Raw genomic sequence first — 12,024 nt, 5'->3', positions numbered from 1 at the left:
TTGGGCTAGTCACTTCATTTTTTTGGACTTAAGTTTACTTATCTGTAATATAATAAAAATAATACTTAGTTTGCAAGTATTATAAGACTGACAGGGACTTAGTAAGTCCTTAGCACAGTACCTGTCACATGGTAGGTGTTCAGTAAATGGTAGCTGCTGGTAGTAGGGGTAGTATTTATTATTTTTTTTCCTTTTTTTTTAACCTCCACAGAACCACCAAAGAGGTAATGTTTGTGGTAGTCCTAATGGCTAACCTTCTATGGGGTGTTGATTGTATATCAAACATTGTTCTGAGCAAAATTCTTAGGCATCTCCAATCTAAGTCCAAATCCAGATTTCTGTTCTTCACCCAAAACCTACTCCTCTCATAGTTCTCACCAGTAAATGGCATTTTTATTATTCCAGTTTCTCAAGCCTTGGCATCATTCTTGATGTCTTTCTTCCTCTCATACCTTATATTAAATCCATTAGCAATTCCTATCAGCTTGATCTTCAAAATATATAAAAAACATGACTAGTTTCCACCACCACCATCACTGCTACTACCACCATCATCTTTCATCTGAACTGTTTCTAAAACCTCCCGATTGCCCTACTACTCTTCTTGCTTTCCTGCTGTCTGATCTCAGCACAACAATCTACCTCTTCTTAAAATGAAGACAAATAATTTCACTCTTCTTTGTAAAACAGTCCAGTGGCTTCCCATCTTATTTAGAATAAAAACAAAGTTTGTATAGTGGCCTATGAGGCCCTGCATGATTTGGCCTTCATTACCTGTCTGATCTTACTTGCTATTCTTCCCCTTCATTTACTCCACTTCAGCTAAACTGGCCTCTAAGCTCTTTCTCAAAAATGCTTCTACTTTGGGGGCATTTGTATTTGCTGTTTCCTCTACTTGGACAGTTTCTTCTCAGAGATCTCCATGGCTTGCTCCTTCAACTTATTCAGGTGTTTGCTCAGATGTCACTCAATGACACTTTTTCGAATCATCTTATTTAAAATTGCAACAACCTGCCCTTAGCACTCCCTAAGCAGCCTGAGTGGATTTCTTTACAGGAGCGGTCCCCAACCTTTTTGGCACCAGGGACCAGGGGTATGTGTGGAGATGGGGCGGGGAGAGGGGGGCATTAGATTTTCACAAGGAGCACACAACCTAGATTCCTTCGTATGTGCAGTTCACAATAGGGTTCACACTCCTATGAAAATTTAACGCCTCCTCGGATCTGACAGGAGGTGAGCTCAGGTGGTAATGCTTGCTTGCCTGCTGCTCACCTCCTGCTATGCTGCCTGGTTCCTAGCAGGCCATGGAATGGACTGGTGCTGGTCCATGGCCCCAGGCTTGGGAACCCCTGCTTTACAGTTTTTATTGCCATCTGATATATCTTTCACTTGAAAAAAAATCTCTCTTTCTTCCCCCTCCCAACTAGCATGTAAGCAGAAATTTTTGTTGTTCTTGTTCTCTGCTGTATCTCAATTCCTCTAGACAGCCTATGTGAGAGAAATGGCATTTGGGAAAGAAAGGCTAAGGCATGGTCCTCAAACTGGGCAACAAAATCTCCTTAGGAACATAAATACACAGATTTCTGAGCCCCATCCCAGATAGAGCATCAAGGATCTTGTATACTCTGTGAAAGAGTTTGGATTTTATTCATAAGGCTTTTGAAGAAGGCTGGTGGTATTAACTACAAATGTATGACAACTTTTTGGGGTAATGAAAATATTTTATATCTTGATTGTGGTGATGTTTGTACAACTGAATACGTTTTTCAGGGGCTCATAGAACTATATACCTAAAAGAGGTAAAATTTTACTATATGGAAATTATACTTTAATGAACCTGTCATTAAAAAATTTTTTTTTACAAATTATGTTTTTTGTTTTTTTCCCATTTTGAGGTTAGAGGAAACAGAGACTCAGAAGTTAAAGGACTACCCTGTGATCCCATCATGGTATGTGGCAGATCCAGGATTTGAACCTAAATCTGCCTGATTGTAGAGTTTATGATCTTCCTACTCATTTTTAGCCTGTCCCTGAAACTATTTACAGTATAGATTTTGTTATAAAAGGCCAACCTTCCTTTAGAAGCTGGGAATCCCATCTACCCTTGAGCAGCTCCCTAGAAGTGGCTGTCATATTCTAAAGTTTGAAACCCTGGCAGATCTCATTTCTGTCAGTCATTAATTGAGATTGGAATTGATGGAGTGCTATCATGGAGTGCTACCCCAGGCATGATCTACCCCAGGCATGATCTCCTCCTGTGGCAGTGGCCCTCATTTTGGAGCAGCAGGAGACCAGTTTCAAAGCTGATGAGTTTCTTTGATTATAAAAAGCAATTTTGTACTTTGTCCAATCAGCAACACAGAGTGTCTTCTCAGTAGGAGAGTGCTCAGATGTTTACAGGTAAGTTGTACTGCTTAGCACTTGTCTTAGTCCTTTTTGTGCTGCTATAGCAGAATACCACAGACTGGGTAATTTATAATGAATGGAAATGTATTGGCTTATAGTTTTGGAGGCTGGGAAGTCCAATATCAGAGTACAAGCATCTGTCAAGGGCCTTCTTGCTGTGTCATCCCATGGTGGAAGAGAGAGGGGCAAAAGAGGGTGACAGAGAGCAAGAGGGGGCCAAACGCATCCTTTTGTGAGGAACCCACGCCCACCATGATAAAACCCACTCCTGTAATAATGGCATTAACTCATTCATCAGGGCAGATCCCTCATGGCCTAATCACCTTTTAACAGTCCCACATCTTAATTACTGTTAAAATGGTTATTAAGCTTCCAGCACGTGCTTTCTGGGGGGAAACATTCAAACCACTGCAGCACTTTATCAGTCTTTCTCATCCTGATGTACCACGCAGAGAACTGGTTGGGTAGAAGAGAGACCCAAAGCTGGAAGGAGTACAAGTAGTCTCTGTGTTGTTGTTGTCACATGAGCAACATTGCCACATCATCATTGTTTACATTTGCATGTCACTTGACAGTTTGCAACTTATTTTAACATCTATGATCGGCCAGGCGCGGTGGCTCACGACTGTAATCCCAGCACTTTGGGAGGCTGAGGTGGGTGGATCACGAGGTCAGGAGTTCGAGACCATCCTGGCTAACACGGTGAAACCCCTGTCTACTAAAAATACAAAAAATTAGCCAGGCATGGTGGCACGTGCCTGTAGTCCCAGCTACTCGGGAGGCTGAGGCTGGAGAATCGCTTGAACCCAGGAGGCAGAGGTTGCAGTGAGCCAAGATCACCCCACTGCTCTCCAGGCTAGGCAACAGAGTGAGACTCCGTCTCAAAAAAAACAAAAACAAAAACAAAAAATCTATGATCTCTTTTCATTATTAATGTCTCAATACTCTGCGAGGAGAGTGCTTTTATTTAGAGAGAGAGTGTATGTTACTTGGGTATATTTTTAGATAACTCTGGCTGTGAGAATATTTTTTTCCCTTAAGTTTAACTGAAATATATATATAACTCCTTTAACTTTCATCTTCAAGTTGTTCTAGTTTCAGTTTGTTGGCTGATGGTAATTTTATCTAGCTCGTTGCCCTGGGGTAGTTTGCCAGGGCTACACATTACGTATGTTTTAGGACATTCTGTCCTCTGAAATTGGCCAATGGCATTTTCCGTTTTGCTTATCTGATGGTCCCAGCTTCCTCTCCTTGTTAGCCCACCTTTTCTCCACATCTCATTTTTGAACCCTAGACAGACTAATCACAGAGCAGTTGTCATCATGCCAGCTGTTCACTGCCTGCCTTCAACATTTGACTTGTTTCCTATTTTGAAGTGATACAAGAGAAGTTAATGACCTAAAAAATTGCTCATCTATCTTGTGAACCTAGTTAGGAAGGAATTGTTTGATTTTTATGATGTGTAAATAATATATTTGGAGACACATTTTCAAATGTGTCAGGCTATATAGTAAGGAAAGGCTCCCTAAACAAGGTGGGACAAATTGGCTGGCTAATAGAGCTTAATGACAGATTTTCCATTAATCAGAATGGAGAATGTGCTTCATTAAGATAATTAACAGAGCACTTGTGCAGGTGATACTTATTGCACACAAATTTCCAAGTTTATTTCTTTCCCTTGAATAAATTTGGAGAGAAATCCTAGCCATATTTCCTTGTTTGCATTAAAATTATCAGTGGCAACAAATTCCCTTTTCTGTTTTTAAAGCTGCTGGTAACTGGTATCTTGTCCTCTGCAGGTGTAAGGGGCGGATGAGACACTGCTTTTCCTTCCAGCAGTCTGTTTGCTCGTCACCAGACACCAAGCTCCTCTAGTGAACCGTAGAAAGCTTATCCTTTTCCAACTCTTAGACTAACAACATTGGAATTAGAAAGGACCTCAGAGATCTTAAACTAATTCATTTTATATCAGGACATTGAAGTCCAGACAGGGGAAGTGACATGGCCAATGCCACATAGTACTCTAGTGCCAGAGCTGTCTGTGGGATAGTGGGACTAACACTGAGCTGAGAGCCAAAATGCCTAGGTTGACATTAGGCAAGTTATATTACTTCCTTGCTCCTTACTATCTTCATCTGTCAAATGGGGAAAGTATTTAACATAGGGCCAACTACAAGCAAATTGGCTTTTTTGTTTAGTCTTCTTTCCACTACACCCTGATGCTTTCCTTTCAGGGAAAACTGAAGATTATGGAGGAGAAGCTGATGTCAGGAAGAATGAACAATCAATATCAGTGCTGTTTTCTTTGTTTTCTCTGTAGGATCCTCAGTCTTCCACAATGAACCCTGTTTACAGCCCCGTGCAGCCTGGGGCTCCTTATGGCAACCCTAAGAACATGGCCTACACGGGTGAGTAGTGTGAGAATGGCTCTCATTTTGAGAAATGGTGGTTAAGGATATTACCAAATAACTTGCTCCTCCTCCTAACGTATACCTCCAAAAGTCTTGGGAAAGTTTGGGAACATGCAGAAGATATGTCTGAGGTCCAGCGGAAAGATCTCAGAGAACCTGTTGTGTGGTTGTTTCCCAACTTTGTTCTACAATAATACCAGGAGAGTGTTTTAGAGAGTCTGCAAACATTTGATTTGATTATTTTAAAATATTGAGAACTATTTTTATAAAACATGAATACGTGTTAGATGATCAGTGTGTTAAGCTTCTAAGAATGCCTGTTAATTTTTTTAAAAAATGCTACCATTTATATCTGCTTATGTTTTTAAATCAGGATTTTCTCAATGCTATGCAACCAAATTAACATTCAGAAATATATTGGAGTTTCAGCCTGATATAACTGTAACTGTTATCACTAACTTTCTATTTCCCATGTTTGTGTTTATCACAACAGTTTCATTGTCCTTATTACTTAAATTAACAGTAAATATTTTCTGTTTGAATTTGTATTTGTATATTTATTCTAACAAAATTAATTTCCAGTAACCAGGACTCATGGGGCAGTACCCTATACCCTACTAGCTCATGGAGCTTGTTGCTTTTCCCCTTTCCAGTTCAGAGTGTTCCAGCAACTTAAGTTCCTCTGCCAGAGGGAACTGAACTGCTTTGGCAGACGGAGCCCAAGGGAACCCTGTGGGGCTTTGGTTTCCTATTTGCTTTGATCCTGGCTGCCTTCGTTCTTACTAAGTTGCTAAACTAGAGAAGGAAGAGAACAGTTGCATTTATCTATTGATTTGCATCAAGATTTAAACATTGTAAATCTGGAAGGGGAATTGACTTTGTCAAATTTTCCAAATTTCCAAAATTGGAAAGGGAACAGACTTTATCTCTGCTTGGCACATAGTAGGACTCGGTAATGTGTTTTGACTGACTGGACAACAACCAGGTTCAAATCCCAGCTCTGTCAGAGAATAGCTGAGTGACTTTGGACAACTTGCCCTAACCTCCCCAGACTTAATTTCTGTGATGAACTGGGATAATATTATCTATTTCATACTAGATAATTCTGGGAATGGGACAAAATATTATCCATTTCATAGGACAGTTGTGAGAATCAAACAAGATAATTTGTACTCCTCTAGAGGAAAGGAGGATCTTTTTTTGTCTCTATTAATCACCAAGGAATATTATGAGCCTGGAACTGTTTTAAGTTAATTCCCTGCTGTAGATTCTAGGACCACACAGATAGTATAAACTCCACATAAGTAGTATAAATTCAGACTTCATACAGGCCAAAGTTTCAAATTTGTAGGGAGACTTTTATTTTTTAACCCAACCTTGGCTGTTGAATCTCTGTACTTTTGGATTTTTTTTTTCTTTTTTTAACTGACACTATGACTCCTCCAAGGTCCCAACTTTATGTAGGGGAATTTGAGTTGCAGCTCTTGGCTGTTCCAGGGCCCACAGCCTATCTCCTACCCCTGGTGGCTGTAAAAAGCAAGCCCTTTGAGTGCCTAGACTAAAAAATCTCCCCAAAGCATCCCAATATCAGCTTACTACATAGACTTCCTGATTTTTAGTTTCCTCTTCATTTTTTGAGTAATAGGGATTTCTTTTTCTTTCTTAAAATCTCAACTCTACGTAATACAATGTTTGTTATACTTCATAACCAGCTTTTCTAGGTATTATGCAGTAGGCAGATTTTCAGGTTATTTTTCTTCTGTATTACTGGAGATGGAAGATCTAAGTAAAGATAATTTATAAACAAATGCCAAATATATTGCATTACAGTAAGCATTTATATGGTTATGTTAAAATTATTATCATTTGGTAAGAACATACTAGGTACTATATATTAATTATAATTTCATTAATCATAAATGCTATAGTTTTTATAGATAAAAAAACTATGGTAGTTTAATTCAGGTCATGTGACTTGACTAATGTATATAGCTTCTAAGGGATGAGAAAATATTTGAACTCAGTTCTTTGTGGTTTCAAAGTATATGTGCTTTCTGTTACAGTAAGCTAATCTGTCTTAAAATATGTGCTGCTTTCTCTCTTCCCCATGATAAACTAAAGATGAGGATTGTCTTTTCCATTTCTAGGGCTAGGAAAGCTTCCCTTTGAGGAGCTAGAATCCTGTTCCTGGCCAGCATTTTGGGGTAGCCTCAGGAGGGCAAAAGTACAGGGGGTCAAGTCCATTGTACTGTCATCTGCTTCAGAGGAAATGGGATGGTGGCTGCAGGGAACAGAGGAGTTGGAAACACTCCTGGTTTGAAATTCTCTTGAAGTCTGAAGATGGGAAATAAAATATAGTTTTGTGGTGCAGTATTCCAGTAAGCAGCTGTCTTCTAGCCAATTGACAGTGTTCTTTCTCTCTCTCTCTCTCTCTCTCCCTTTTAAAGCCCCTTTACCGAGTACTTACTGTGTGACAAAACCTGAGCTCAGTATTTTACAGAAAATACCTATTTTTACACTTGCAGCAATCTATAATGTGGTTATAACTAGTTCCTTATATATTTTGGCAGAGTGAATTTAGAGAATGTAATATGCCATATACTTTCAAATGTTTAAGCATAGACTATATACTATGAACTGAATGTTTGTGTCCCTCCAAAATCTGTATGTTGAAACCCTTAATCCCCAATGGGATGGTAATTGGAGATTGAACCGTTGTAGGTTTAGATGAGGTCATGAGGATTGAACCTTCATGATGGAATTAGTTCCCTTAGAAGAAGAGACACCAGAGCTCTTTCTGCTGTGTAACAACACAGCATGACCATGCTGGCACCCTAATCTTGGACTTCTACCCTCCAGAGCTATGAGAAATAAATGTCTGTTGTTTAAGCCACCCAGTCTGGTATTTTGTTATGACAGCTCAAGCTGACTAGGACAGATAATGAGTGCAGTGAACACTTGAATACCCTTTACCTAGATTCACCATGACAGTGGGCTGTTTATAGACCAGGGCATTTCTTTTTCCAAAAGCTTCATAAAGGTTTTTCTGTTAGAATTTTGGAGTGTAGTCAAGACCTCAACATTCTTCTCATCTTTTCTTTTCTAAAATGTTCTGATTGTGTCAGTGTCCAAGCATCACCCAGGGGTCTATCTAGTATGTGTTCTGGAGTGTGTCAGATCTCTGCTGAAATCTGGTCTCTGTCACTAATTAGCTATGGAACTTTGGTTGAGTAATCTTTCTGCATCTCAGTTTCCTTGACTGTAAAATGGAATAATGACCTATACAGATGGTTGGTTTGTAGTCGGTGAAAATGTTTATAAAGCTTCTCGTGTCGTGCCTGGCTCATAGTGGACACTCAATTAATGGTTGTTGTAATGCATAGCAATGAGTATACACCTACAGGGAAAAGAGCATGGGACATACAGTTAGTGACTTAGATTACAGACCCTATTCTGCCACTTAAGAGCTATATGACATCAGATAAGTTATCAAGCTTTCTGGGCCTCAATCTATCATTTGTTTTAAAAAAAAAAAATGATAAAACAGGGTTAGGAATGCCTTCCTCACACGACAGCTGAGAGTAATAAATGTAACAGGGCTAGCCACTGACTTGTGATGAAGTTTCCAAAACACAATTAGAAAATAATTCTAAAACGGGAGAACAGATGAAGCCCTTAAATGAATCCATCATTTTATAGGTGAAAAGATGGAGTATAAGAAGTGTTTTGAAGAAAGTGTTGGGGTTGAGTCTGGAACCCATGTCTCCCCATCTGGGTCTGTGTATTCATTGTCTCTCTACCACAGAATAACAAGTGTTCTCCCTTCTCTTCATTCCGTTGTGGCCACTTCACATTCCTCTGCTAGCCCACTCCAGTTCAAGAGCTCTTTCTGACTCCTCCTGTGTTGACCTTTAATGAATATCCTGGCTTCAGCCAGTAGAAAACATAGGTCTAAATGCTACAAATACAGTAACAAAAGATACAACTCTCAAGGTTAGAAGGCTAGGAAATTAATCTGTTCAAAGACTACCATCTTTTTTTTTTTTTTTAAACCAGTGTTTGTTTTCCCCCCCACCCCCAGATTGCTGTTTTTGCTTAAAACTTTGTAAGGATCACCTGTTGGAGGTTTTGATTAACTGACATTTGTACTTTGTTTATTCTTTGCAAAGAACTTTTGTGGGATTTTTCCCTTCGTATGTGTTTTTTTTTTTTTTAATAACAATTCTGGAAGATAGTTTTTATTTTCCAGATGAAATTAAGCTTCTCTAAGGTCACACTGTATAGCAGAGGCCAAACTAACCCCAGTTACAAAGTAGGTGCTTTTAGGGCTCTAGCATACATGGCTATGTCTTGGACGGTACAGTGATTAGGATCTCAGATGAGCCTGGAAAATGGATTTTAATTTCTGAAACTGTTCTCACAACTCCCCCTTTGATGTTCAAACTGATCTCCTCTCCTCAGGAGAGAACTCCAAGGTCACTTAATTACTTTTTCACCTATGGTTGAAGAAGAGCATCTAAAGAGAATTCTTATTAACTGTTCTCATGAATATAATCTCCTTGTGGACCCTTTTTAGCCTTTATCCTAATTTGACTCTTCTATATCATTTGACACCTGACCCCTTTCTTGAAGCAAGCTTTCATTGCCTCCATAATTTTCATTGACCATAATTGTTTATTTTTGTTTGTTTTCCCTTTCTTCTTCTCCAGCTGTTCCTGAATTTGTCTCCTTTCAGAATTTTCTTCCCCTGCTCATCCATTAAAAGTTGATGTTTCACAAGGGCTCCGTTTCTCCCTTAGCCTCAGCTGCTGTCTATAGGCTGATGATTCATAAACTCTAGGGCTGTGGCAAACCATTCTTCTGAGCTTCAGACTAGTTTATCCAGCCGTCTCCTGAACATCTCCTCCATGAATGTCTCATGCTTTGCTCAGACTTATTATGTCTAAAACTGAGCTCATTATCTTATCATTCCCCTGTAACCCATTTTTTATCATTTTGTGATTAATACCACTATCTGCCTATTCCTAAAATCAGAAAACATCATCCTTGATACTCTTGCCTCTTTTGCCTTCTAAAGCCAGTTATTAAGTCCTGCCTTTTTAAAAAAGATTGCAGTAAAACACATGTACTATCTTGGCTGGGCGCGGTGGCTCACACCTATAATGACAGCACTTTGGGGGACTGATGCAGGTGGATCACTTGACCAAGAGTTCCAGACCAGCCTGGGCAACAAAGCAAAACCCCGTCTCTACTAAAAATACAAAAAATAACCAGATGTGGTGGCGCACACCTGTAATCCCAGCTACTTTGGAGGCTGAGGCATGAGAATCGCTGGAACCTGGGAGGTGGAGGTTGCAGTGAGCCAAGATCATGCCACCGCACTCCAGCCTGGGCAACAGAGTGAGACTGTCTCTCAAAAAATAAATAAATAATTTTTTTAAAATTTGCTATCTTAACCTCTTCTCTTCTCTTTTCTCTTCTCTTCTCCTCTCCTCTCTTCTCTTCTCTTCTCCTCTCCTCTCTTCTCTTCTCTTTTCTTCTGACTTGGAGTCTCTCTCTATAGCCCAGAGATTGCAGTGGTGCGATCTTGGCTCACTGCAACCTCCGCCTCCCAGGTTCAAGCAATTCTCCTGCCTCAGCCTTCTTAGCTGGCACGTACCACTATGCCTGGCTACTTTTTGTATTTTTGGTAGAGACGGGGTTTCACCGTGTTGGCCAGGCTGGTCTGGAGCTCCTGACCTCAGGTGAACCACTTGCCTTGGCCTCACAAAGTGCTGGGACTACAGGTATGAGCCACCGCTCTCAGCCATCTTAACCATTTTTGTGTGTACTATTTAGTGGCATTAAGTACATTCATATTGTTTTGCAACTGTCGTCACTATTGATTCACAGAACTCCTTTCGTCTTGCAAAACTGACACTCAATATCCATTAAACAATAACTCTTCATTTCACCCTCCCCCCCAGCTCCTGGCAATCACCAACCTACTTATTATCTTTATGAATTTGACTAGTCTAGATGCTCATATAAATGAAATCATACAGTATTTGTCCTTGTGTGACTGGCTTATTTCACTCAGCCTAATGACCTCAGGTTTCATCCGTGTGTCAGGATTTCCTTCCTTTTTAGGCTGAATAATAATATTCTGTTTTATGTATATGCCGCATGCAGTGGTATGTGGACACTTGGGTTGCTTCTGCTTTTGGTCTATTGTAAATAATGCTGCTATGAACATGGATGTACAAATATCTCTTGAAGACCTTGCTTTCAATTCTTTTGGGTATATATCCAGAAGTGGAATTGCTGGGTCATACAGTAATTCTATTTTTAATTTTTTGAGGAACTGCCATACTGTTTTCCTAGTGGCTGCAGCATTTTACATACTCCCTTGTGGTTTATAAAAGTTTCAGTTTCTGCACAGCTTCGCCAATGTTTGTTTTCTCTCTCTCTCTCTCTTTAAATAATAGCCATCATAATGGATATGAAATGTTCTTTTTATTTTTAAAAAACCTCCTTTACCTTTCTTAGATTAGACTTTTCTTCCCTATCTTTCCACTGTTATCATTCAGGTCATTATTACTCTTTCTGGGATTAAGTTGCCTCTTAACTGGACTTCCTAACTCCTTTCATATACCCCTGTCCCCAGTCTGTTCTTTACATAACATAGCCATAATCGTTTTTCTCTCTTGAAAATTTGACATCACTCCAATGCTTAAAACCCTTCAATGACTCTTCACTGTCCTTTGGATAAAGTCCAAACTTCTTAGCTTGCAATAGAAAGTTTTTATGACCTTACCATTCAGGTATCTCCAGCCCATCTCCTGCTCATCCTATTTATCTATATTCTCAGTCCATCTGGTGGCTGGTATTATGTTTTTATTTAGAATTATAAGATGATTAGAGACCATCAAATCCAACCCTGTTCTTAGATGAGAAACCTGAGGTCTAATAAGTGCCTAAGGAAAGCACTTAAGATTCACAGTGGGCCATGTGCCGTGGCTCATACCTGTAATCCCAGCACTTTAAGAGGCTGATGGGGGAGGATCTCTTGAGGCCAGGAGTTTGAGACCAGCCTGAGCAACATGGCGAGACCTCATCTCTATAAAAAAATGTAAAAATTAGCTGGGTGTGGTGGCACCTGCCTGTAGTTCCAGCTACTCTGGAGGCTGAGTTGGGAGGGTCACTTGAGCCCAGGAAGTCAAGGCTT

The 12,024-nt window shown here is 39.8% G+C and overlaps 1 protein-coding gene across 5 annotated transcripts in view; it reads left to right on the top strand.

Moving 5' to 3' along the window:
• FAM168A (family with sequence similarity 168 member A) overlaps positions 1-12,024 on the top strand; it is a 197,626-nt gene that overhangs the window by 124,894 nt on the left and 60,708 nt on the right. For all 5 annotated transcript variants that reach the window (NM_001286051.2, NM_015159.3, NM_001286050.2 and 2 more), the window contains one exon: positions 4,727-4,814. In NM_001286051.2, coding sequence (NP_001272980.1) covers positions 4,745-4,814 — 70 coding nt within the window. In that variant the 5' untranslated portion in view covers positions 4,727-4,744. Of the gene's footprint in view, positions 1-4,726; positions 4,815-12,024 lie in introns of those variants that run through there.

Source organism: Homo sapiens, chromosome 11 (assembly GCF_000001405.40).
Source record: "Homo sapiens chromosome 11, GRCh38.p14 Primary Assembly".
Classification (NCBI taxonomy): domain Eukaryota; kingdom Metazoa; phylum Chordata; class Mammalia; order Primates; family Hominidae; genus Homo; species Homo sapiens.
This window is presented reverse-complemented; position numbering and strand designations above follow the sequence as displayed.